The 23,910-nt window shown below is 60.8% G+C and overlaps 1 protein-coding gene across 6 annotated transcripts, besides 18 other annotated features; it reads left to right on the forward strand.

Moving 5' to 3' along the window:
• Window positions 74–353: an enhancer, noted in NCBI's record as "active region_12965". NCBI's record gives its function as "activates an Ori minimal core promoter by ATAC-STARR-seq in GM12878 lymphoblastoid cells {active_cell/tissue: GM12878}" and the evidence as "EXISTENCE:reporter gene assay evidence [ECO:0000049][PMID:35858748]".
• Window positions 384–433: an enhancer, noted in NCBI's record as "active region_12966". NCBI's record gives its function as "activates an Ori minimal core promoter by ATAC-STARR-seq in GM12878 lymphoblastoid cells {active_cell/tissue: GM12878}" and the evidence as "EXISTENCE:reporter gene assay evidence [ECO:0000049][PMID:35858748]".
• Window positions 564–753: a silencer, noted in NCBI's record as "silent region_9130". NCBI's record gives its function as "represses an Ori minimal core promoter by ATAC-STARR-seq in GM12878 lymphoblastoid cells {active_cell/tissue: GM12878}" and the evidence as "EXISTENCE:reporter gene assay evidence [ECO:0000049][PMID:35858748]".
• Window positions 974–1,693: a silencer, noted in NCBI's record as "silent region_9131". NCBI's record gives its function as "represses an Ori minimal core promoter by ATAC-STARR-seq in GM12878 lymphoblastoid cells {active_cell/tissue: GM12878}" and the evidence as "EXISTENCE:reporter gene assay evidence [ECO:0000049][PMID:35858748]".
• Window positions 974–2,199: a biological region, named in NCBI's record as "H3K27ac-H3K4me1 hESC enhancer GRCh37_chr17:79482073-79482696".
• Window positions 1,576–2,199: an enhancer, noted in NCBI's record as "H3K27ac-H3K4me1 hESC enhancer chr17:79482073-79482696 (GRCh37/hg19 assembly coordinates)". NCBI's record gives its function as "activates a minimal SCP1, AML or CMV promoter by ChIP-STARR-seq in naive and primed H9 embryonic stem cells {active_cell/tissue: H9 hESC(naive and primed)}" and the evidence as "EXISTENCE:reporter gene assay evidence [ECO:0000049][PMID:30033119]".
• On the forward strand, window positions 1,591–23,659 carry FSCN2 (fascin actin-bundling protein 2, retinal). Of its 6 annotated transcripts, none has more exons than XM_011524590.3 (7): window positions 1,591–1,935; window positions 2,565–2,774; window positions 13,586–15,886; window positions 21,581–21,737; window positions 22,675–22,796; window positions 23,079–23,318; window positions 23,404–23,659. In XM_011524590.3, exons 3-7 carry the CDS (start codon window positions 15,061–15,063, stop codon window positions 23,607–23,609), a joined length of 1,551 nt encoding a protein of 516 aa, XP_011522892.1. In that variant the 5' UTR covers window positions 1,591–1,935; window positions 2,565–2,774; window positions 13,586–15,060; the 3' UTR covers window positions 23,610–23,659. The 6 variants fall into 6 exon arrangements, with proteins under 6 accessions (XP_011522892.1, XP_047291676.1, XP_011522889.1 ...); XM_047435720.1 differs by having other exon boundaries at window positions 2,626–2,774; XM_011524587.3 differs by lacking the exons at window positions 1,591–1,935; window positions 2,565–2,774 and adding an exon at window positions 5,589–5,631.
• Window positions 1,764–1,813: a silencer, noted in NCBI's record as "silent region_9132". NCBI's record gives its function as "represses an Ori minimal core promoter by ATAC-STARR-seq in GM12878 lymphoblastoid cells {active_cell/tissue: GM12878}" and the evidence as "EXISTENCE:reporter gene assay evidence [ECO:0000049][PMID:35858748]".
• Window positions 2,200–2,825: an enhancer, noted in NCBI's record as "H3K27ac-H3K4me1 hESC enhancer chr17:79482697-79483322 (GRCh37/hg19 assembly coordinates)". NCBI's record gives its function as "activates a minimal SCP1, AML or CMV promoter by ChIP-STARR-seq in primed H9 embryonic stem cells {active_cell/tissue: H9 hESC(primed)}" and the evidence as "EXISTENCE:reporter gene assay evidence [ECO:0000049][PMID:30033119]".
• Window positions 2,934–2,983: an enhancer, noted in NCBI's record as "active region_12967". NCBI's record gives its function as "activates an Ori minimal core promoter by ATAC-STARR-seq in GM12878 lymphoblastoid cells {active_cell/tissue: GM12878}" and the evidence as "EXISTENCE:reporter gene assay evidence [ECO:0000049][PMID:35858748]".
• Window positions 3,450–4,075: an enhancer, noted in NCBI's record as "H3K27ac-H3K4me1 hESC enhancer chr17:79483947-79484572 (GRCh37/hg19 assembly coordinates)". NCBI's record gives its function as "activates a minimal SCP1, AML or CMV promoter by ChIP-STARR-seq in naive H9 embryonic stem cells {active_cell/tissue: H9 hESC(naive)}" and the evidence as "EXISTENCE:reporter gene assay evidence [ECO:0000049][PMID:30033119]".
• Window positions 3,704–3,943: an enhancer, noted in NCBI's record as "active region_12968". NCBI's record gives its function as "activates an Ori minimal core promoter by ATAC-STARR-seq in GM12878 lymphoblastoid cells {active_cell/tissue: GM12878}" and the evidence as "EXISTENCE:reporter gene assay evidence [ECO:0000049][PMID:35858748]".
• Window positions 4,076–4,699: an enhancer, noted in NCBI's record as "H3K4me1 hESC enhancer chr17:79484573-79485196 (GRCh37/hg19 assembly coordinates)". NCBI's record gives its function as "activates a minimal SCP1, AML or CMV promoter by ChIP-STARR-seq in naive H9 embryonic stem cells {active_cell/tissue: H9 hESC(naive)}" and the evidence as "EXISTENCE:reporter gene assay evidence [ECO:0000049][PMID:30033119]".
• Window positions 5,414–5,963: a silencer, noted in NCBI's record as "silent region_9133". NCBI's record gives its function as "represses an Ori minimal core promoter by ATAC-STARR-seq in GM12878 lymphoblastoid cells {active_cell/tissue: GM12878}" and the evidence as "EXISTENCE:reporter gene assay evidence [ECO:0000049][PMID:35858748]".
• Window positions 6,104–6,263: a silencer, noted in NCBI's record as "silent region_9134". NCBI's record gives its function as "represses an Ori minimal core promoter by ATAC-STARR-seq in GM12878 lymphoblastoid cells {active_cell/tissue: GM12878}" and the evidence as "EXISTENCE:reporter gene assay evidence [ECO:0000049][PMID:35858748]".
• Window positions 6,394–6,443: an enhancer, noted in NCBI's record as "active region_12969". NCBI's record gives its function as "activates an Ori minimal core promoter by ATAC-STARR-seq in GM12878 lymphoblastoid cells {active_cell/tissue: GM12878}" and the evidence as "EXISTENCE:reporter gene assay evidence [ECO:0000049][PMID:35858748]".
• Window positions 6,454–6,563: an enhancer, noted in NCBI's record as "active region_12970". NCBI's record gives its function as "activates an Ori minimal core promoter by ATAC-STARR-seq in GM12878 lymphoblastoid cells {active_cell/tissue: GM12878}" and the evidence as "EXISTENCE:reporter gene assay evidence [ECO:0000049][PMID:35858748]".
• Window positions 14,828–15,354: an enhancer, noted in NCBI's record as "H3K4me1 hESC enhancer chr17:79495325-79495851 (GRCh37/hg19 assembly coordinates)". NCBI's record gives its function as "activates a minimal SCP1, AML or CMV promoter by ChIP-STARR-seq in naive H9 embryonic stem cells {active_cell/tissue: H9 hESC(naive)}" and the evidence as "EXISTENCE:reporter gene assay evidence [ECO:0000049][PMID:30033119]".
• Window positions 15,355–15,880: an enhancer, noted in NCBI's record as "H3K4me1 hESC enhancer chr17:79495852-79496377 (GRCh37/hg19 assembly coordinates)". NCBI's record gives its function as "activates a minimal SCP1, AML or CMV promoter by ChIP-STARR-seq in naive H9 embryonic stem cells {active_cell/tissue: H9 hESC(naive)}" and the evidence as "EXISTENCE:reporter gene assay evidence [ECO:0000049][PMID:30033119]".

A 23,910-nucleotide genomic window follows, 5' to 3' on the forward strand; every position in this document is an offset into this window, starting at 1 on the left:
AGACCGAGGCCCCTTTCTACCCGACCCGACACATCCCTGCCCCTCAAATCACAGGCCTGATTGTCCCCAGGCGCGCGCTCCGGGTTGGGGCTACCCCGCCCCCTTATGTGCTGAGAAGGTGGTGTGGAGTGAGGCCTTTGTTTCATTCTGGTCACCTGTAGACATTATAGGGAAACTGAGGTAGACAATGGGAGCCCTGACTTTTTTGAAGGTCGGCTCCCCAGCTTCGGGCGGTCGGGGGGATACCCTCTTCTGTTTACGATGCTAGTTAAGAGCAGCGATCAGGGCTGGCGTGGGTTTAGCCACAGGCTTGTCCAGGGCGCTCACTCCTCGCCAGGAGCGGCGCCGGTGCTTTGGTTACACCCCGAGAGGCGCCCGGCACTACGGTTTCCTTGTGCGCTGCTGGAATTTTCAGGGTTGGAGCGCCGGCCGCGTAGGGGTGGCAGTGAGGCCGCGCAGTGAGGGGACGGACTCGCCCGAGGTCGCAGAGCGTTCAGATTGACTCGACAGGCTGGGGGGCGGGGCCGGGGTCCCCACGCGGAGTCCGGGGCCCTGCAACGTTAGCTCGCGACCCCGTGTTTGGGAGTGACAACAGCGAGTCAGGGCAAGGCGGCCGGCCCAGCTCACCTGCGGGCTGCAGTCAGCCCGGACGCCGAGACCCGTGCCTAAGGCCCCCGTGCCCCAGGCCTCCCAGGGGTGCTGAGCGCCCCCAGGCCCAGAATCTCCGGGGGCCCGGGCAAGGCTGTCAGGTATGTTCCCTCCCGTGGCGAAGCCGGGGCTGGGCCTCCAACAGACCCACCCGGACTCGCGTCCCTGGGCAGAACCACACAGCCTGCTCGACCCCCGGGTGAGGACTTCCACTTGGGGGGTCCCAAGATGCGACGTCACACACCGAGGGACACGAGGCGGGTGGGGAATAGCCACAAGCCCCTCCATCCTGCGTTCACCCCACACTACGTTCTGCTCCGGGCCGGCCGGGGACCCTGCCCCTCCGGGTCTCTGGTCTCCTCCGAAGCTTCTTTGTCTAGGAAGTGCGGGGAGGTGCCGGCCCCGGGCGCGCGTCCCCGTCCCCCACCTTTCTTCCCCACGTTGCGGACCCGAGGCCGCCAGGGTCGTGGGGGCGGGGGCGAGGCTGGCGCCTCGAGACCCCCGGGTTCCCCGCCACCCGCAGGGCCTGAGCCGCGGGGAGGGGCGGGGAGGGGACGCCGCCGCGGGCCGGGGGTGGAGAGCGACTTCCTCCTCCGCGGCCGCGTCACGCGGCAGGGGTCAAGGTGTGGCCCAGGTACGCGGCGGGGGGCGGTGGCGCGGCCATATTTGGCGACTTCGGCGCCGCCGGAGCCCCGCCCGCCTCCGCCGGGAAGCCCGGCCCGGGGCAGCGCCATCCCCGCCCGCCGCCGGGCCTGAGTCACGGCGGGCGGGGGGCGGAAGTAACGGACGGGGGGCGCCCGCCCGGCGCTCCTGGCCTTATTTAGTCAAGGAGGCCGCCGATTGGCGCGCGGGACAGAGGGGCGGCGGCCGGGCAGCCTCGGGGCGTAGGAGTGGCCCGGCGCCTCCGAGGGGTCGGGGCGGGAGCCGGGCGTGGGGGGCCTCGGAGCCTGGGGAGTCCCGGGACCGACGGCGGCGGGGATGCGGGTCTGCCTGTCCCTGGGATGCGGGCGGGCGGGCAGGGCGAGGCCTGGAGCCCGCGGGGCGCAGGGGGCTGGACCGCGCGCTGTGATTTTTCTGTTTAGCAGCGGGGCCTCGCCCAAGGTCGCGCGGGGCCTGTCCTGGATATGCTCTGGGAAGCCAGTGGCGCAGGGCAGCCGCCACCCTTCTGGAACCAGTGCCGGAGAGGGCCGGGCAGCTGGGCCTGGGGAGGGGACCGCATGGATGGAGCTGGGGGTAGCTGGGCGGCCTCCGGAGCCGGGAGAGTCGGCAGCTGCACTTCCGCCAGAGGTGGGTGTGTCCTTCACATTTCAGGAAGGGAGACTTGGGGCCTGGAGAAGCGATGTGATTTTTCTTTTCTAGTTCAGTGCTGGTTTTGATGGCTTTTTATCATGACCTTGTTATGTCTTATTTTAGTTTCGGCCCATTTAGTGGATACGACAACAGTGGCCCAGGGAGGTATGGCAGAGCTGAGGCTTAACCCAGGGCCTGCGCCCTCCACGGCCTGCACTGCCCCACCTCCAGCTCCTTGCCCTGTTCCTCCCTCTGCACCGGATCAGCCCCCGGACTCTGGGTCACCTCCACACCAGTTGACAGGGCCCCCCAGTCCCCACCGCCAACCACCTGGCCGGCTACTTGTCAGACAGACATGGGGGCGTGGGCATGGGTCCCCACCCCTAGCCTTTGCCTCTGTCACTCTACCTGCCTGGAATGTCTACTTTTTCTTTATATTTTATTTTATTGTATTTTTGAGACAGTCTCATTGTCGCCCAGGCTGGAGCGCAGTGGCGCGATCTTGGCTCGCTGCAACCTCTGTCTCCGGGGTTCAAGCGATTCTCGGGCCTTAGCCTCCCGAGTAGCTGAGACTACAGGCGTGCACCACCATGCCTGGCTAATTTTTGCATTTTTGGTGGAGACAGGGTTTCACCATGTTGGCCAGGCTGGCCTGAACTCCTGACCTTAAGTGATCCACTCGCCTAGGCCTTCCAAAGTGCTGGGATTACAGGCGTGAGCCACCTCACCCAGCCTGGAGTGTCTCATCTTCCACCACTAAATGAAACGATGGACCCTGAACAGAAAAAGGAACAGTGGTGGAAGAACTAGCAAAGCCCACAGCCTTGAGTTTGGCCGTAAGTATCAAGGTTAATCTCTCAGTTATGGCAGTTGTCCCATGACCGTGTAAGATGCCAGGTTAGGGGACACTGGGAATAGAGCATTGGGAAACCTTCCCACTGTCTTTGCAACTTTTCTGTAAGTTTAAAGTTCTCCCATAATAAAAAGCTAACTTGAATCCAAGGCAAGCAAAGCTTCCCTACTCTCAGCCCACCTCCCTCTTCTCCCACACCCTTTTGGACAGATGAAATGCAAGGTGATGGCCCTGTTTCCTGAAGCTCTTTCCAGGGCCTGGCTGGCTCCCTTGGGCAGGTCTGGAGTGGGCTCTGCCTCTTCAGGAACAGTGGTCCCAAGGCTGGTCCCGGTGGGCAAGGCTGGTTTCCTGCAACTCGGCCTGGCTGCCTCTGAGTTTTGGCTCAAGGGACAAGGCCAGGGTCCCACACTTCTGTCTCCTGGCTGGTGCCCAGCTTGGGGCTTGGTTCTCCTGCCCCACTGCGCAGACTGAAGCTCAGAAGGCTCAGCTGGCTGCCCCCCACCCCACCCCTGCGGAGTCACTGGGCAGCTGGCTGTGAGTGGCCAGGTGCTGCTTGTTTGGTCCCAGGACCAGGTCTCTGCATGTGTTGTCCAATTCTCACCTGGTCCCCAGACCAGGTCTCTGCATGTTTTGTCCAATTCTCACCTGGTCCCCAGACCAGGTCTCTGCATGTTTTGTCCAATTCTCACCACTGGAGGAGAGTCCCAGACTGTGGAGTTTTCACAGGGAGGGAAACTGAGGCAGTCTCCTGGGTCAGGGTAATTAGCCAGAAACAAGGTCACATTCTGGGAGGTCAGAAGGTTCTGGAGGGCGGTGTGGGCACTCTACACGAGGGTTAGGGGCTTGAATGCACACAGACACTCAGGCCGAGAGTCCCTCAACCCCACTCCCCTGCCCCGCCCCACCCCCGCTGCTCCAGGCCTTCTGGAGACAGGATCCCTGTTGCAGTTTACCTGAGGCTCCCCATCCCCGCTGTGAGCAGGAACCAAGGAGGCCCCTGGAAGAGCCCTGAGCTGGGAGTCGGACACCTGGGTTCTGGGCCCGGCTCAGCCCTGTGCCTGCCACGTGACCTCTCTGTACCCCAGTTCCTGTCAAAAAAGAGGAGAGGGCTCTGCGATGTGAGATGTGTGGCCCATCAGGGGCTCTGAGGCTGCTTGCCCTCCCGTGTGGACAGGAAGTCTGGGGACAGGAGGCCGTCAGGTGGCCCAGCAAACCCCCCAGGCGTCTTGCCTGACACCCAGGGGCTCAGTTTTCGGTGATGAGTAAGACGTGCTCAGTGCCTCTGTGTGTCGTGTGTGAGACCTGAGACCAGGGTGCCTGCTCCTCCCTCTGTTCCCAAGGGCATAGCCCCAGGCCCGTTTGTGACCCTCCACTGGGCCCGAGAAGAAGGCTCCTTTCCCCAGGCCTCATTCCCCTGTGGCCTCCCAGAGCCGCACGGAGTGGGGAGGGTCTGCTCTCCACCTGGCCATTGTGGACCCCACCCCAGGAGCTCCGGCCGCCCCCCCCCCCTCCAGTCCCACTCCTTCCTCCCCAGAGGCAGCGAGGCCTGAAGTTTGTGTTTCCCCTCAGGGTGGTTCTTAGCTGCGGTCACAGATTGCAGGGGAGGAGCCAGAAACGGAGATGAAACCGAGGAGCCCCCACCCTCTTCACAGGGCTAAAGCCAGAAACCACCGTCCCAGGCCACAGCCTGCCTCATGTGGCCATGCCTGCTCCCTGGCAGTGCGCGTCCTGCAACCCTTCCCACCCCAGGGCCTCGGCTTCCGCAATGAATCCCCATGTTTCAAATCCCCGCTGCTCCCAAGGCTACCTGCTGCCTCGGGGTAGAATCTAAGCCCCTTCCCCTGGTGCTGGAGGCCCACAGAGTGGGCGCTGCCTGTCCCTCCACTCCTTCAGCGCCCTGACCACCGTCTGGCTGTTCCTTTGCCCCCAAAGCTGTCCCACTGGCTGCCTCCTCCTGGCATGCCCCCATGCCACCCACGACCTCCCATCAACTCCTATTGATTATTAGCTTCTTTCACCCACTCTCTGCCCTAGAGCATTGGTTCTTGGGGCACAGCATCCTTGTCCTCCACAGTGAAGCTGGTGCCCCTGTACCTGGCATAGCCCCTGTACCTGGCATAGCCCCTGTACCTGGCATAGCACCTGCCCAGCAGCTGCTCGTGCAGGAAGCCCAAGTAGGGGTGGAATAGAGAGGGAGGAGTTCCCAGCCCTGGAGGAGGGAGCGCAGAGGAAGGCTAGGCCGATTCGCAGCTGCCTCCTATCTCAAAAACGTGGAAGGGGCTATAACTCTAGGGCTGGGAGGGAGGGGAGTCGTTTTCGCTGACTCTCCGCACGGACCCTCTCCTGCCCGCTAGCTGGTCAGCTCCTCCAGCTCTCCCCGCGGCAGCAGGCCGGGGAGCAGATGTCTTGTCCAGTGTGCGCGGGGCACCGAGGTAGGGAAAGCCTGTTTAACCCGTCCCGCCCCTCCTGCTCTGGCCAGCAGCTCGCCCAAGCAGCTCTGCAGAGCGACTAGGTCAGGGCCTCTCCAGGTGTCTCCACTCGAGGGACGGCTGGCGCCACGCGGAAAAGGGGAAGCGGGTCAGGGCGGGACAAGGGCAAGAGGTTACTGCTCTGGGCGCTGTGTCCTAAGGGCTGCCTCTTGTCTGCGGAGAATGGAGGGTGCCGGGGGTCAAGCCCGGACTCTGTCAGGGTACCCGAGTCTTAGCCACGCCATCCTTCCCCAGCGCGCCGCGGGGGCGGGCACAGCAGGGCGGGCGTGGCTGGGAGACCGGCTGTGCCTCGCCGCCCCGCCCGTCCCAGGCCGGGAAGCTGGGACTTGAGCTGGTCTGCATTCGGGCAAGGTGAGCCCCGGGATGTTTCTCAGGCAGGGCCCAGGGCTGCACGCCCTAACTTGGTGCGGGGTCGCGGCGGTCCAGCCCGGCTGCACGTGGTCGCGCGCTCCTTGCAGCTCCCAGCCCGCCGGCCCGCGCTCCTGCGCCCCCTCCCCACGCAGTCGACCTCTCCTGACCGCCAGGTGCACGCAGGGCGCGGGCCTGGGCCTCAGCTCCGCGCACTCCCCCCGGGACGCGGCACCGGGGCTTCGGGTGGGCCCAGGACCCGCACTCAGCACGCACTTCCCCCGCCGAGCACTGTCTGGCAGCGGGGACGCACCCCCAGGACCACGAGCTCGGAGGCCTGGGGCCGGGAGATGGCGCCCGTGGAGTGGGTCCCGCGAGAAGGCCGGGAATGGCGGGCCGCTGTCGTTCCCACCTGGGCCGCCAGGTGGGTGCCGCTATCGCCGCGAGGCCGCACCTGTCGCGCTGCCGGAGCCCGCGCCTGCCCAGGAGCGCCAGGAGGGACCCCCGCTCCTCCCTCCGCCACTGGGCGGGGCCGGTCGCTGAGTCACGGCCGCACACCGGACGGTGACAGAGGCAGGGCTGCCTGGGGAGGGGCCGGTGACCTCAGTCAGGGCTGACGCGGAAAAGTGGGATGGGGTCACCCGTGGCAGTGGATGAGGGGGTGGCCCGGGCCTCCACTCACTGCCCACGCTAGATGTCCGGGGTCCCTCCTGCGACCGAGGACAGGAGGCACCCACAGAGGACCCCAACACGAGGACCCTGGCCCTGGGTGCGGGGCGTTTTTCCCGCACTCTGCTCCCCTAGCAGATGGCCCCTGCTAAGCACCAGCTCCCAGAAAAGGAAAGGAAGGGGCTGAGAGGCTGGATCGAGGCAACCCAGCAGGAAAAGGTGGCTCCAGGGCTGGAGGGGTGGGACTCAGAGATCTCACTACATACACCTGCTGGGGACAGAGGCTTCTCCGGCCTTCCCAGGGCTGGGCCAGGCCGTGGCAGGGGCCGCCCCAGACCTGTGTCCCAAGGGGCCAGGTTGTTTGCGGCTGGGCTGGCTCCGGGAAAGTCAGAGGGGGCACTGCCGGACAGGGGATGTCCAGTGCCACACCAGGGCGGTCACACTTCCTCCTGGGGCCGTGGGGACACAGGAAGGCCTAGGGGAGGGGTGGGGGGAGAACACACTCAGGAGGTGACCCTGAAGGTGGAGAGGCCCGAGCTGGGGTCACACCATGCCCAGGGAAGGATCATGGTTGGCCCAACCCATGTGTCCACTTGGTCTGTGGGAGGGAATCACCCTGGGGAGCCCCCTATGCCTGGCCCCCACCCACACACACCTTGGGCTCTCTTGAAGGTTAACTGTGCCCAGCACCTTGACAAGCCCCATTTCCTCCAGTCCTTAGGACAAGGCATCCTTTGGGGGCGTCACCAAGCTGGGAAGGTGAGCCCCCGAGTCAGTGTTGAGTTTGCGTATCGGCAAGTGCCTTGAGCTCACACCCCTGGAACTGGCAGTTTGGTGAGAGATGGAATTTCAAGTTGAGAACTGGCCTGGGATTTTGAACGCTTAGTCCCTGTCTCTTGCTGGCACTGCTGCTGATGAGAAATGAATGTCACTGGATTCCTGATCCAGAGTCCAGGTGTTGTGTTTCTCTAAGAGCCTTCAGGCTTTTCCTTGCTGATCTAAAACTGCTTCATGTCCCTGGTGATGCTTTTGCATTCATTATCTTGGCTACTTCCTAGGCCCTGTTCTTGCTAATTTGCTTGTATTATTTCTTTTACAATTTCTTTCTTTTGTTTTCTGTTCTTCTGTTTTGGGATTTCTGTTAATTGGGCATTATACCTTCTGGATTTATTCTCTAATATTCTAGTTTTTTTCTTCTGTCTACTTTTTTAAACCTTCTGGGATATTTCCTTGACTTCTAACCCTTCAGCGGAGTTTTTCATTTTATTTATTATAGTTTTTAACCTTTTGGTTTTGAAATTTTTTTTTCTTTTTTTGAGACAGAGTTTCACTCTTGTTGCCCAGGCTGGAGTGCAATGGTGCGATCTTGGCCCACCGCAACCTCTCCCTCCCAGGTTCAAGCGATTCTCCTGCCTCAGCCTCCCTAGTAGCTGGGATTACAGGCATGTGCCACCACGCCTGGCTAATTTTTGTATCTTTAGTAGAGACAGGGTTTCTCCATGTTGGTCAGGCTGGTCTCAAACTCCCGACCTCAGGTGATCCACCCGCCTTGGCCTCCCAGAGTCCTGGGATTACAGGCATAAGCCAAGCCCAGCTTTTTTTTTTTTTTTTTTGAGACAAGGTCTTATTCTGTCATCCAGGTTAGAGTGCATTGGTGCCATCTCAGTTCACTGTAACCTCGACCTCCCAGGCTCAAGCAAACTTCCCACCTCAGCCCTCTCCATCCCCCAGCAGCCAGGACTACAGGTGTATGCCACCATGCCTGGCTAATGTTTGTATTTGTAGTAGAAATAGGGTTTTGCCATGTTACCCAAGCTGGTCTTGAACTCCTGGGTTCCAGCAGTCCACCCGACTTGGCCTCCCAAAATGCTGGGATTACAAATGTGAGCCACCACACCCAGCCTTTGTTTTGAAATTTCAAACTTACCTCGTTTTAAACATCTTGACACATTTGCTTATCATTCTCCTTCTATTTCTGAGCCCTTTGGAAGCAGGTTTCAGGCATGATGCCCTTACTATTTTAGGGTGTGTTTCCTAAGAACAAGGATGTTTTCTTCTATAACCACAGAACAGTGATCAAAATCAGGCAACATCAGTATCACACTGTTTATCCAATTGACAGGCAATGATGGCGTGGATCATACAACTTCGGTAATGACACTTGTCCCAGAAATGTCCTCCGTAGTGTGTTTTCCTCATCTAATCCAAAATCACGTTATAACGTTTTGTTGTCATAAACTTTTTTTTTTGAAACGGAGTCTCACTCTGCACTCTGTTGCCCAGGCTGGAGTAGAGTGGCACGATCTCGGCTCACTGCAACCTCCGTCTCCTGGGTTCAAGCAATTCTCCTGCCTCAGTCTCCTGAGTAGCTGGGATTACAGGCGTGGACCACCACACCCAGCTATTTGTTGTATTTTTAGTAGAAATGCAGTTTCACCATGTTGGGCAGGCTGGTCTCGAACTCCTGACCTCGTGATCCGCCTGCCTCGGCCTCCAAAAGTGCTTGAATTACAGCCCGGCCAAACTATCATACTTTTAATTCCCAAGGCCTCTCTTGTTCTCTGCACCATTTCATTAACTATAGGCAATGAGACTTTTTTAGAAAGCAGACCAACTTGAATGCATGGAGCTGAGTGGCGTGGCGTTGTCCCCAAGGGAGCTGGGTGACACCACGATGGTGACCATGTGCAGAGCCCTTCTCACCGTAGAGTGATAAATGGTCCGTTTCTGTTTTGTCCCAGAAGTCAGAGGTAGAGTTAATTCCTTTCCTTTCCCCAGCACGGTTCCTGGCACACCTGGCACTCCCTAAGTGCCTGTGATGGTTGGTTCTTACGTGACTGAACTTGCGGGTGGACGTGGCATTACACGTGGGCAGGGCGTATGTACACCTGTGTGTGTGTGTAGATGCAGGTTCGCAGGGGCTGGGCAGAGGCCGCCACCTGCAGACCTGTGGGCTCGTTCACGCCAGGTGTCCATGTCTGTGGTGTGCCCCTGTGTGTAAGTCCAGCTGGGCTGTAGACAGCCATCTCTTCTCTGAAAGTTGATCTGTTCGTCACTCTAAGCCCCAAGCAGCCAGGGGCTCATGGGATTTTCATGAACACTCTCCTCCTGTCCCCTGCATGTGCAAAGGTCCTGGGGCTCAGGGGTTGGAGGCTCCATCGCCCCAGTGGTTGTGAGGCATCTGGGCTTGTCCAGACACCTTCGCTTCTGCCCTCGGGGTCCCTTTGGGGACTTTTGTCCTTGCTGGGGTCCAGAGTTTTCTGGCAAGGCCTAGAGCCCTCTTCCTCCCCTCCCCTTCCAGGCACAGCCCCCCACCAGCACCTTATGATTTCACAGAAGACAAAAGCCAGCAGACTGTGTGGGCTGTCTGCCCTGAGAGTTCCAAGGCGAGGCTCCGGAGCAGCCAGCCGTGAACCCCAACTGCAGTTCGGGAAGCTGCTTTCGGGGAGGGGCAGGGAGGGGAGGGGGATTCTCGGAGCAGGCAGGCAGCCACGCTGGAGAGCCCCTCCCCAAGCTCTTCATTCCAACCCTGCCCTGCCCCCTGCCTTGCCGATGGAGCCTGTCACCCTAAACCTGGCCTCAGTAAACCAACCCAGGCCAGAGAAAGAGAAGTGCGGCCCCCTCGCCCGTGTAAGTGGAACTGCAGCGGAGCCGATAGCTCAGCCATGAAAAAATCATGAGGTCGCCAGGCTGCAGGTCTGTGCTCAGGAATAACACCCGGGGCTGGGCCCCTGGGAGTAGGTGCTGGGCCAGGAGTGAGGACATCAAGGCCCGGTGTGCCCAGCAGGGTGGCCCTCACCTGGCTGCAGGGCCAAGGGGACAACAGAGCCTAGGCAGGGGCTTGGCACGGGGACAAGGGGGAGGGTGGAGTACCTGGGAATCACTGGAGACAGGGATGCCAACAGGAGTGGCAGCGGTCAGGGCCTGGCACTGAGGTGGGGGCTCCTCCGATGCCTGCAGGGAGGGCTGCAGGCACTGCTGGCCTGTGAAAGGCGTGGTCCTCAGCCGCGGGGTGGCCCCAGGGCTCCATTTCCCAGTTTTCAGGGCTCCAGTCCAGCAGGGCGAGGAGCCACCTCTCCCCCAGCTGCACACACGCAGGCCTGTGCCAGCTCACACCACCAGCATCAGCGTTGCAGGGCATCCAGCCTGGAGCACGTGCCGGTCACCATGGCAGCAGACAGCGTGCCAGCAGGAGCCCAGGCTGGGCTCAAGCATCCAGGATCAGTGGTCTAGGCATGGGGGGCTTGGGGTCCTTCCCCTTGGAGCACCAGACGGGCCAACTCGGGGAGGGGAAGGGGGACCCTGGAGCACCAGGACAGCCCGTCCACCAGCACCTCAGAAAGGGAACGATTTCCTAAGGGCTCTCGGGAAACCTGAGGGTGGACACCAGGTGCCGGTGGGGGCGCATGGCTTCCTGGTCCTGCCCAGCTGGCCCCGCACTGAGAGGGATGGAGGCCGAGGCTCAGGCCTCGGGAGGCTGCCAGGGGATTCTGATGGCTGAGGCATTCCTTGCCCTCTGGGCTCAGGTGAGGCCAGGAAGTCTGTCACAGCTGGCTGCTCCCTGGACCAGGGGGCTGGGGGTACTGCTACCCCAAACAGCCTCTCACTGCCCACCGGGACAAGGCACCCCCTCCCAGGTGCAGACCTCAGCTTGGGCCTCAGGCACACACTGGGCAGGGGCTTCCACCAGCCTCAGAGGTGGGCGAGGGTGGGGCGTGGAGCCCTCAGTGTGGCAGCGCCTTTGAATGTCGCCACAGTGCAGCCTGCACAGGTCAGGGTGGCAGGCACGTGTGTATCCCATGTGAGTGGTTGGTTGGCACCTCCGGAGGTGTGGCCACAGGGCTTGGTGAGGGTCAGTGGGAGGGGTGCTTCCTGTTGCCTGAGAACACTGCAGGGGGCTAGAGTGCCCCAGCCCACCATATGCTCTTGTGAGTTGTGTATGTCTGGAGTATGAGTGGGACCCTGGAAATAGCCTCCCTTGGGCAGTGTACAACCTGGGCTCCCTGCTGGGCAGCCCTGAGTAGGCTCTCAGGCTGGGATCCAGGATGACAGTCCCAGGGTCCAGAGTTGGCCCAGCAGGCGACTCTTCTGGCAACCTTTGCCCACCCTCATCCATGAGCACCTTCACACACACACACACACACACACACACCACACTCACACACATGCACAACGCTGCACCCATGGGCAGAGGCTCAGCCCATCATACAAGAACCCGGCCCTGTGCTGGGGTCCCAGCTGCTCAGGAGGCCAAGGTGGGAGGATCGCCGGAGCCCAGGAGTTCGGGGCTGCCACTGGCCAAGATAGCGCCACTGCAGTTCAGCCTGGGTGACAGAGCAAAACCCTGTCTCTAAGATAAATAAAAAGAACCAGACGGCCAGGCACGGTGGCTCACGCCTGTAATCCCAGCACTTTGGGAGGCCGAGGCAGGTGGATCACCTGAGGTCAGGTGTTTGAGACCATGCTGGCCAACATGGTGAAACCTCATCTCTACTAAAAATACAAAAACTAGCGGGGCGTGGTGGTGGGCGCCTGTAGTCCCAGCTACTTGGGAGGCTGAGGCAGGAGAATCGCCTGAACCTGGGAGGTGGAGGTTGCAGTGAGCTGAGATCACGCCACTGCACCCCAGCCTGGGCGACAGAGCAAGACTCTGTCTCAAAAAAAAAAAAAAAGGCTGTGCCTGGTGGTTCACGGCTGTAATCCCAGCACTTTGAGAGGCTGAGGAGGCCAGATCACAAGGTCAGGAGTTCGAGACCAGTCTGACCAACATAATGAAGCCCCGTGTCTACTAAAAAATACAAAAAAAATTAGCTGGGTATGGTGGCAGGCGCCTGTAATCCCAGCAACTCGGGAGGCCGAGGCAGGAGAATCACATGAACCTGGGAGGCAGAGGTTGCAGTGAGCCAAGATTGTGCCATTGCACTCCAGCCTGGGTGACAGTGTGAGACTCTGTCTGAAAAAAATAAAATAATTAATAATAACCAGACTCCCGACATCCAACAATCTCAGGCACTTATTAAGTACCTGCTGTGTGCCAGAAATTTTGCTGAGAATCCAGAGGAAGCGATCCTAGCAGGTGGCTGGGCAACAGCCTGGGGTCCTGAGGTGGAGGCAGGAGGGGCTGGAATCCCTGTAAACGGCCTCCCTCCAAGGAAGCCTGGCCCAGGCGCCCACCCTTCAGTCACCCTCCCCTGTTTAGCTCACACAGCTGGGTCAGTGCCAGGCAGCCCCACCCAACGTGGAGCTGTGGGGCCCTAGAACTGAGGAGCCGCCATCATTTCTGGCTCTGCCACCAAGAGGCTGCCCAGAGCCAGGCCCACTTAGTGCCGGGCGGCCAGGCTTCCCCCTGCTGAGCACCCGATGCCTAAGCGCCCTGCCAGCCCAGACAGCGCTAATGAGGCCGTCGTGCCAATCAGAGGGGCAGGCCGCCTGGGCTCCTCCTCAGCCTGGCTGGGCGTTGGGGTGTGGAGGTGAAGCCAGTGTCTGTGCCTGGGGTGGGGGGGACCATGGGCACAGCTGCCCCTCCGGCTTCCCCCACCGCTCACGGACCAACCGAGCTGTACCCTCAAAATCCAACGGGAGGCCGGGCGCAGTGGCCACGCCTATCATCCCAGCACTTTCAGAGGCCGCGGCGGGCAGATCACTTGAGGTCAGGAGTTCGAGACCAGCCTGGGCAACATGGTGAAACCCCATCTCTACTAAAAATACAAACATTAGCCGGGCACGGTAGCAAGTGCCTGTAATCCCAGCTACTTGGGAGGCTGAGGCAGGAGGACTGCTTGAGCTCGAAGGTTCCAGTGAGCCAAGATTGCGCCACTGGACTCCAGTTTGGGTGAGGAGCGAGACCCTATTTCAAGAAAAAAGTTTTTTAAAAAGAAGAGCCAATGGGAAAGTGAGGTGCAGGCAGCACCCTAGCTTGTATCCCTAAACCAGAGACAGTTCCCTGGCATCGGTGCTAGGCCTGTGTCCTCAGTCCCCTGGAAACTGTGGGAGAGTGTGTGTGGGCATCGTCTCTGGGAAGGGGGTGAAACCCCAGACTGCGTCTCCCCAGGATGGTGCCTGGCACGTGACCTGGTTTCGCACACAGTTGGTGCCTCATAAATGCGTGTGAATCATAGAGGCGGATGAGGCCAGCACACAGGGAGAGGCGAGAGCAGGCCCTGGCGTCGTGGCGTACGCTGTGCCCTGGGGGGTATTTGCATGTGGGAGTCTCTCTGCCCCCACCCTGGCCCCTGAGCGTGGGGACAGTGGGGACAGGTCTCCTCTTTTTCCTCCCCTGTGTCTGCAGGTGCCTGGCACGGTTGCTGTCCAGGGCTTAGAGGACAGAGGAAGAGCCCCTGAGTCTGTGCACACTCTGCCACCATGGCCCTGCCCACCTCTGGAGCCCACAGGTGCCCAGCCCAGGCCCCTTGCTTTTGGCTAGACTCCTGCCCTACGGGGACCCCCATGATGGCCACTCAGGAGATGGGCCCAGGAGGACAGGGGAGTGACTCCAGGCCATGACCGGAAGGGGCCTGTGGCCCCTGTTCCCAGTCCCCAGGGAGACGGGAGGGTCACACGCTGTTATGAGGAAGAGGACACCGGGCTGGCCCTGGCCCAGGGTGGCCAGCTCTGGTTTCACTACTTGGCCCCAAGCCCCTGAGGCAGGTGCAGGAGCCAGGCACGGTGAGCAGGGCCCAGTGCCCCTCAGGCTCTGGGGAAGGGGTACAGCCAGGTGGCCCAGAGCAAGGAGGTGCTGTAGACAGGTGTGACCACTTCCAGTCTCTCCCGGCCTGCTGGCCTTCATCCTCTCCCAGATTCCAAGGGCCACCGCTGGGAGCATGGGGTGGACATCGTCCCACCAGCCTCCTGGATCCACATCCGTAAAGACTCCAAAGTGAAGTGAGGCTGGCTTCACTCCAGCTCACAGCAGAGGAGGGGGCAGCCTCAGGGCCCAGCAACTTGCTCAGAGCGCACAGGAGTGCGCTGGGGCCGGGCCAGCCTGGCCCAGGGCCTCTGACTCTGCCCCCTGCCTGCAGGGCTGCACGGCCACTGTGTTCCACCCTCCAGCGTGGGTGGCAGTCCAGTGCGTCATTCTGGGGCCTGAGCAGTGTGGCCAGAGGCCGGTCTGGGGTGGAGGCGACCTGGGCTGCAGGTTGTGGCTGGGGTCCTTGCTATGCTTCTGGCAGCAGGAATCAGAGAAGCAGTAACTGGATCCAGCTGAGGGCCTGGCGGCCACCGAGGGTACGGGCGGCGATCAGGTTGCGGCCGAGCCGTGAGCGTTCCACTGGACGGCTTCTACATCCGGAAGGGCTGGGCCGGGCCGGGCCGGGAGCCCACACGGGGTTGGAGGAGGGGGGCAGGAACGAGAGAGGCCAAAAGGTGCAGGGCCGTGAAGAGGGGCGCTGGGCCCACGCTATGAGGAAAAGGGGATCAACCCTGCCCTCCAGCCCCGTAGGCCCTCAGGCCCTCGGGCTCTGGGCTCTGTGCAATCCGGGAGTGGCTGAAATCCAAGCTGAGGGTAATGAAAGGTGCTGCTCCTAAGCCGCACGTCTCTGATCCGCCCTCCCCGCCCGCCCTCTGCTGCCCGCGGGCCCTCTAAGAGCTGCCCAGGCTGCTGCCGCGGGTCAGAGGCGGGTCAGAGCAGGCAGGGGGTTCGTGACGCCGGCTGGGTCTGGGGGCTGTGGGCCAGCCGAGCCGACCCGGGCTTCTGGGGGACCGCGGGGGCCGTGAGCACTCAGAGGGCGCATCCCAGGCCCCTCCGGGGACCCGGCCAGCCTGAAGATGCCGACGAACGGCCTGCACCAGGTGCTGAAGATCCAGTTTGGCCTCGTCAACGACACTGACCGCTACCTGACAGCTGAGAGCTTCGGCTTCAAGGTCAATGCCTCGGCACCCAGCCTCAAGAGGAAGCAGACCTGGGTGCTGGAACCCGACCCAGGACAAGGCACGGCTGTGCTGCTCCGCAGCAGCCACCTGGGCCGCTACCTGTCGGCAGAAGAGGACGGGCGCGTGGCCTGTGAGGCAGAGCAGCCGGGCCGTGACTGCCGCTTCCTGGTCCTGCCGCAGCCAGATGGGCGCTGGGTGCTGCGGTCCGAGCCGCACGGCCGCTTCTTCGGAGGCACCGAGGACCAGCTGTCCTGCTTCGCCACAGCCGTTTCCCCGGCCGAGCTGTGGACCGTGCACCTGGCCATCCACCCGCAGGCCCACCTGCTGAGCGTGAGCCGGCGGCGCTACGTGCACCTGTGCCCGCGGGAGGACGAGATGGCCGCAGACGGAGACAAGCCCTGGGGCGTGGACGCCCTCCTCACCCTCATCTTCCGGAGCCGACGGTACTGCCTCAAGTCCTGTGACAGCCGCTACCTGCGCAGCGACGGCCGTCTGGTCTGGGAGCCTGAGCCCCGTGCCTGCTACACGCTGGAGTTCAAGGCGGGCAAGCTGGCCTTCAAGGACTGCGACGGCCACTACCTGGCACCCGTGGGGCCCGCAGGCACCCTCAAGGCCGGCCGAAACACGCGACCTGGCAAGGATGAGCTCTTTGATCTGGAGGAGAGTCACCCACAGGTGGTGCTGGTGGCTGCCAACCACCGCTACGTCTCTGTGCGGCAAGGTAGGGAGGGCACAGGTGGCGACCTCCTGAGGGGTGCTGGGACCCCCCTGCTTCAGGGAGGAGGCCGTGGGGGTCTCACGGGGAGTGGTATCGTGTCTGTGCGTTCACATGTCTGTTCTGGGCTGGGGGTCCATGTGGGACATGTGTGGCCACTCAGGGTGTAGGTGGGTGGGCCTCGGGCCATGCCCAGGCGACCCCCACTGAGGGGTGGTGGCTTCAGGGTCAGAGGCAAGGGTTCCTGGCCTTTCTCAGCATAGCTGGAGAATGTCTCAGCCAAGCCCTGGGCAGCTGCGGAGTCTGAGACTGGAGAGGTGTGGGCCAGGCGATGGGCAGTGCCCAGCAGGGGCAGGAGGCCCACAGCCTGGCCTGGTGCCATGAGGGGCATGTGGGCAGGAGGCTGTGGGGGGTCCATATCTCCCCTTCTTTTTCTCCACCCCATTTTCTGGACTTCATTTATTTATTTATTTTTTGAGACAGAGTCTCGCTCTGTCACCCAGGCTGGAGCGCAGTGGCGTGATCTCGGCTCACTGCAAGCGCCGCCTCACGGGTTCACGCCATTCTCCTGCCTCAGCCTCCCGAGTAGCTGGGACTACAGGCGCCCGCCACCACGCCCGGCTAATTTTTTGTATTTTTTAGAAGAGACGGGGTTTCACTGTGTTAGCCAGGATGGTCTTGATCTCCTGACCTTGTGATCTGTCCACCTCGGCCTCCCAAAGTGCTGGGATTACAGGCGTGAGCCACCGTGCCCGGCTGCATTTTCTGGACTTTAAAGGAAATTGGGGAGGAGCCCAGGGTAGGGCAGGGAGCTGGGGATCGGGCGGGGATAGCACCACCACGTGCCTGACCAGTGGAGCCTCGTGTCCTCAGGAGTGGGGGGGCTTAAGGTCAGCTCCAGTGATGGAGGACACGGTGGGCAGGCAGCTTTACCCGGGGCCTGGGCTCCTGGTGGGGAGGCACCTCCCTGCCCCAGTGGGGCGTGGCCTGGCTCTCCCCAGTTCCCAGGTCACCAGTTGCCTGTCTGTGTGACTCCCTCCACCGCCTATGGGGTGAACCCCAGCAGTTCCTCCTTCCCCACAAGCTGAGCTCTGAGGGAAAAGCCCTGGCCCGGGCAGTCACTACCCACCTGGGCTCCTGGCTCCATGCACCCCAGAGTGGCTCGGAGGTGGTCTGAAAAGGCGAGGTGGGGAGAGCCGGGTGCATGGAGCTCCTCCTCCCAACTCAGGTCCTTCCAGACCAGCATCAGCTGGGCAAGGAGAGCTCCCCTGTCTCCTGGCAGCTCCCAGGTGCCCACCAAGCCCCCACCCTGACGGATGTCCAGGCCCCCTGGGTACACTGACACTCTGGGGCCAGATGGCAGAGGCCCCACCCTGTGCATGGAGAGGGGAGCCCAGCCATGGCTATGGGGTCCTGCACCTGCAGTTGGCATCCTCGGGCCTGTCCCAGCAGTGACAGGGTCCCAGGAGTGAGAATTCAACTGTGGATGCACGGCCATGGCCCTTCCTTCCTATCACAGCCCACAGTCCAGCTGTAATGCCTGCTGGCCTGGGCCCAGGCCGGGCATGTGGCAATCCTTAGGTGGTTAAAGGGGGTAAGTGGGACAGTGGCAGTGAGAATGCTTCCTCCATGGAAGCCAAAGACACTAGACCTTTAGGCATTTGTATATGGACAGCTTGGAAAGCAGACTCAAAGTGGCAGTCATGGCCGTGGCCGTGGCATTGTGGTGTGATGTGCATGGTGGCGTGGAAGTGGAGGTGAGGACGGTGGTGACAGTGTGGTGGCAGCAGCGACAATGATGGTGATGGTGATGATGGTGGTGATGGTGATGATGGTGGTGATGGTGGTGATGGTGGTGATGGTGGTGATGGTGATAATGGTGATGGTGGTGATGATGGTGATGGTGATGATGGTGGTGATGGCGGTGGTGATGGTGATGGTGGTGATGGTGATGGTGGTGGTGGTGATGATGGTGGTGGTGGTGATGGTGGTGGTGATGATGGTGATGGTGATGATGGTGGTGGTGATGGTGGTGATGGTGATGATGGTGATGGTGATGGTGGTGGTGATAGTGATGATGGAGATGGTGGTGATGGTGGTGGTGATGGTGATGATGGTGGTGGTGGTGATGGTGATGATGGTGATGGTGATGGTGGTGATGGTGATGGTGGTGATGGCGATGGTGGTGATGATGGTGATGGCGATGATGGTGATGATAGTGATGGTGATGATGGTGATGGTGATAGTGATGATAATGGTGATGATGGTGATGGTGGTGGTGATGGTGGTGGTGGTGATGATAGTGATGGTGATGATGATGGTGATGATGATGGTGATGATGGTGATGGTGATGATGATAGTGATGGTGGTGATGGTGATGGTGATGATGGTGATGATAGTGATGGCGATGATGGTGATGATAGTGATGGTGATGATGGTGATGATGATAATGGTGATGATGGTGGTGGTGATGGTGGTGGTGGTGATGGTGGTGATGGTGATGGTGGTGATGGCGATGATGGTGATGATGGTGATGGCGATGATGGTGATAGTGATGGTGATGATGGTGATGGTGATAGTGATGATAATGGTGATGATGATGGTGATGGTGATAGTGATGATAATGGTGATGATGATGGTGATGGTGGTGGTGATGGTAGTGGTGGTGATGATAGTGATGGTGATGATGATGGTGATGATGGTGATGGTGATGATAGTGATGGTGGTGATGGTGATGGTGATGATGGTGATGATAGTGATGGCGATGATGGTGATGATAGTGATGGTGATGATGGTGATGGTGATGATGATGGTGATGGTGGTGGTGATGGTGGTGGTGATGGTGGTGGTGGTGATGATAGTGATGGTGATGATGATAATGGTGATGATGGTGATGGTGATGATGATGATGATAGTGATGGTGGTGATGGTGATGGTGGTGATGATGATGATAGTGATGGCGATGATGGTGATGATAGTGATGGTGATGATGATGATAGTGATGGTGGTGATGGTGATGGTGATGATAGTGATGGCGATGATGGTGATGATAGTGATGGTGATGATGGTGATGGTGATGATAATGGTGATGATGATGGTGATGGTGGTGGTGATGGTGGTGGTGGTGATGATAGTGATGGTGATGATGGTGATGATAATGGTGACGATGGTGATGATGATGATAGTGATGGTGGTGATGGTGATGGTGGTGATGGTGATGGTGGTGATGATAGTGATGGTGATGGTGATGATGGTGATGGTGATGATAATGGTGATGATGGTGATGGTGATGATGGTGGTGATGGTGATGATGGAGGCAATGGTGATGATAGTGATGGTGATGGCGATAGTGATAGTGATGGTGGTGGTGATAGTGATGGTGATGGTGATGATGACAGTGATGATGGTGATGGTGGTGATGGAGGGGTGCTGACAGAGTGGTGGAGGGATGGGGACTGTATGGACCATTTTTCAGTCTCTTGATCCTCAACCACCCTGCATCTGACCCTATCATCCCTTTGAGGGGAGAATCCCCTACTCAAGACCAGCTCCCATCTCCCACTTTAGAAGCAGGAAGCAGCAGCCACTCGCCTCCCTGCCTTCAACAGGGCTGAGGGTGAGGACCCAACCACCAGGTGTTTCAGGCTCTGGATTGGCGGCCAGGGCTGTAGGGAGCGGGACATGGCATCTCAGTCCTGGGGCATGGAACCTCACGGCTTCCAAGGCAGCTGCAGCGTGGGTGGTGCCATAGCATCACCCCTACCCGGCCTCTGTGGAGTGGCTACATGGCAGGCCCTTCATCGAGGCATCTCCCTGGCTGGGCGGCCCCTAACCCTCTCTTCCCCCCTGGGAGGGGAGTGAGCACCCAGGCTTGCATGTATCCCCCCCCATCGGCCAGAGCCTGCTCATTTCTGCCAACAGACAGCATGGCAGGCAGTGTCTGATGCTGCCAGTAACAGAAAACTGGCCACAGGCTGGCTCAAGCAGTGACACTGATCATCTCCTGAAACGGGAGTCCAGAGAGCCCTGGGCATGGTGGGTTCCCAGGCAGCCACTATCACCCGCTCAGCAGCTTCCCCGGAGTCCTCCGTTCTTACCTCCTCACCGAACCACTCTCCTGGGTCAGCTCTGACCTCAGCCTGACGCCCTCACGGTAGTAATGTGGCTGCTGGTATTCCAGGCCTCACATCCAGGCAGGACAAAGTCCAGAGGAAAAAGAGGCACTGGCTCTGCTTGTGTCTTCATAGGAGTAAGAAAACTTCTCCCCTAAGTCCTAGCAGACACTTCTTCACACTCATTTGCCAGAACTGAGTCCCCCAACTGCTCAGCTAGCCCCTCTGGAGGGGGGTAAAACCAGTGTTGCCCAGACCAAGGCGGACTCCACTCCTCTCCTATTTTGAGGCCATGTCCCCGGAAGCAGGTGGCTGAATGAGTAGCCCCAGACAGCATCCTGTCTGAAGGGGGTGTGGGGCAACTCTGGGGACACCAAAGTGCTGGCCTGGGAGGTGCAGTGGCGGGGGGAGCCCTGCGATGCTGTGGCTTCCTTCAGTGCCCGCAGGGACGGCGTTCCCACACCTCTCATGGGCCCCTCCTGCGGGCTCCTGCTGCCCCCGGGTACCGTGTCAGTGTTGCCCTCCACTGGGCCCAGGCAGCTGCTTTTAGTTCAGTATTTGCCAGGATCTAGAGCTGGTGGCAGTGGGGATGCTGGCACGAATACTCGGTCACAGTGCAGGGGACATGCCGGGTGCTCCTCTGCGTCTGATCAGTGATGAGTGTGAGGGAGATCCCAGCCTGGGGCGTGAGGGGCAGCTTTGGGGCTGGCAGAAGGCAAAAGGTCCCAAGCTGTCTGGCATGGTCACAGCCTGGCATCCTCTCCCCTGGGCACAGCGTGGGATGGGATCTGGCCCCACCCTCAGGCCCTGTGGGGGCTCTGCCCACCACTCCCTCCCAGTCCCCAGCTGGACAGGCCACCAGAGTCCCTGGGCCTTGTGGGAAGCTCCGCAATCTGACACACCACTCCCAGTGTCTGGCTGCCATGCAAACAGGGAGGTGGTTTGTGGGAGGAGCCAGGGACTTAGTTCACAGAAGATCCTGGGTAGGCTCTGGTGCCTGCTGTCCCCATGCTGGGCATGGGTGCCCCTCCATCCCCTCGCAGGAACCCCAGATGGAGCCCGGGGCAGTCTTGTCCTCCCCCAGGGGTCCTGGGAGACCAAGCACAGATGGTTGGGGAAAGCTGCAGAGGTGACAGGGACCAGCCCCTGGCTGGAGCCCAGGGGTGCCCCATCACCATCCGCACCATCCCCTTCATTAGGTCCTGCCTGTGCCCATCCAGCAGCTTAGGGTGAGTTATAAATAGAGGCTGGGGTAAGCCCTGGGTCAAGAGAGCAGGGCAAGGAGATTACCAGCTGATTACTGATTAGCAGAGAGTGGGGGCTGTGCCAAGCAGAAGGGCCTGGCTCCTGGGGGTGTGGAGGGAGGTCAGGGCTCCCTTGGGGACAGTGTGCAGGGTCCACAGACGGCACATATGGCCCTGGGGCAGGGTTCCCAGGGTCTCTGAGAGGTGCCTTCCAAATCTTCTCAAGTCAAGAGGGTTCTAGATGAGACCCACCTCTGGCTTCAGGGGTGCCCCCCAAAATATGCCCCCTCCCCTGCTCCCTACCCAGGAGAGGCGTGAGGGGCTTCCCCATCTCCTCCCTCCAGGGGTCAACGTCTCAGCCAATCAGGATGATGAACTAGACCACGAGACCTTCCTGATGCAAATTGACCAGGAGACAAAGAAGTGCACCTTCTATTCCAGCACTGGGGGCTACTGGACCCTGGTCACCCATGGGGGCATTCACGCCACAGCCACACAAGTGTGAGTGCACACATCCCTTCCTCCTCCATCATCCCCATCCCCACCATCACCATCCCCATCATCACCATCCCCACCATCCGCATCCCCATCTCCATCCCCACCACCCCCACCCCCACCAGCCCCATCCCCATGACCACCATCCCCATCTCCACCATCTCCATCACCATCATCGCCATCCCCATCCCCATCATCACCATCCCTATCACCACCATCCCCATCATCACCATCCCCACCATCCGCATCCCCATCTCCATCCCCACCACCCCCACCACCACCAGCCCCATCCCCATCACCACCATCCCCATCTCCACCATCTCCATCACCATCATCACCATCCCCATCTCCATCACCACCATCCCCATCACCATCCCCATCTCTATCTCTACCATGCCCATCACCATCATCACCATCCCCATCTCCACCATCCCCATTACCATCTCCACCATCCCCATCTCCATCCCCACCATCCCCATCTCCATCCCCATCTCTGCCATCCCCACCATCACCATCCCCATCTCCATTTACATCCCCATCCCCATCCCCCTCACCATCCTCATCCCCATCCCCCTCACCATCCTCATCCCCATCTCCACCATCCCCATCTCCATCACCATCCCCCTCTCCATCCCCATCCCCATCTCCATCACCATCCCCCTCTCCATCCCCATCCCCATCTCCATCTTCACCATCCCCACCACCGTTCCCATCACCTGCACCATCACTCCCACCACCATCACTGCCTCGGCCATGAGGATTGCCGTAGCAGCTCAGTCAGAAAGGAAAGCCCACTGGGGCAGGGTAGCGCCTGATGGTGGTGGGTGTGTCAGTGGAGGGCAGGCTTCTGTCCCACTCCTTGGAACCTGAGGAGGATGGGGAAGTGAGACCCTGCACCCCCATCTCCTGCTGTCCTGAGGAGACCTTTTGCTGCTCCCTCCAGTTCTGCCAACACCATGTTTGAGATGGAGTGGCGTGGCCGGCGGGTAGCACTCAAAGCCAGCAACGGGCGCTACGTGTGCATGAAGAAGAATGGGCAGCTGGCGGCTATCAGCGATTTTGTCGGTGAGCACTCTGCCTGCCAGGTACTGGGGCAGGGGCTGTCTCCACCCAGGGAAAGGACCTGCCCAGACACCCCATCTCCACCAAGAGCTGGACCCTCCCCAGCCCACGGAACGGGTGCTGTCATGGAGTCATACTTGCTAGTCAAGATAACTCGTCTTGGCAAGGGAAACAGGTCTGAATGTCCTTATCTCCGCTGCTGGGAACCCCCTAGGCGCCTTGCCAAGGCCGCACATGAGGCAATGGCAGGCCTGGGTCCCTAAGTCCAGGTGTGGCGTTTCCCAGGGCCCCCACCCCGCCCGGCCTGGACAGGGAAGGTGGCGGGAGGGGCAGCGCAGCAGACGCTCTCCCCGCCAGGCAAGGACGAAGAGTTCACCCTCAAGCTCATCAACCGGCCCATCCTGGTGCTGCGCGGCCTGGACGGCTTCGTCTGCCACCACCGCGGCTCCAACCAGCTGGACACCAACCGCTCCGTCTACGACGTCTTCCACCTGAGCTTCAGCGACGGCGCCTACCGGATCCGAGGTGCGTGGCGGGGCGGGTGGGCACGCGGGAGCGGGGGTGGCAGCGGGCAGGTGGGCACCCCCGCCGACGCCGTCCCGTCCCCCAGGCCGCGACGGAGGGTTCTGGTACACGGGCAGCCACGGCAGCGTGTGCAGCGACGGCGAACGCGCCGAGGACTTCGTCTTCGAGTTCCGTGAGCGCGGCCGCCTGGCCATCCGCGCCCGGAGCGGCAAGTACCTGCGCGGCGGCGCCTCGGGCCTGCTGCGGGCCGATGCCGACGCCCCGGCCGGGACCGCGCTTTGGGAGTACTGAGGCCGCGCCCAGACCAGCCTGTCGCGCATTAAAACCGTGTCTCTCCCGCAGCTGTGGGTGGGCCCCGGGGCGCCGCTTGGGGGTCCTGCAGCTGGAGGTGGAGGAGGCCCACAATTCTCCCCAAACCAGAGAGAGCCCAGAACTTCCCAGTGCCCAGGGACTCCCGTCTGGGAGGTGGTCTTGTGGATGGGCCGGGTGACCCAGGCCGCTGGAGGGGAGGTCTCAAGGACATGGGGAGGACGGGGACTGGGGGTGGGTGGGGGACTGAGCCTGCGCGGGTTGAGGCCACCAACACCGACCA

The sequence above is a fragment of the Homo sapiens genome, chromosome 17 (assembly GCF_000001405.40).
Source record: "Homo sapiens chromosome 17, GRCh38.p14 Primary Assembly".
NCBI lineage: Eukaryota > Metazoa > Chordata > Mammalia > Primates > Hominidae > Homo > Homo sapiens.

Excerpts from the sequence above, each read along its gene's own strand:
- FSCN2 (XM_011524590.3), top strand. The coding sequence starts at position 15,061 with ATGCCGACGAACGGCCTGCACCAGGTGCTGAAGATCCAGTTTGGCCTC. Across the intron at positions 15,887-21,580 it reads CTACGTCTCTGTGCGGCAAG|GGGTCAACGTCTCAGCCAAT; the intron begins GTAGGGAGGGCA and ends TCCTCCCTCCAG. Across the intron at positions 21,738-22,674 it reads CACGCCACAGCCACACAAGT|TTCTGCCAACACCATGTTTG; the intron begins GTGAGTGCACAC and ends TGCTCCCTCCAG.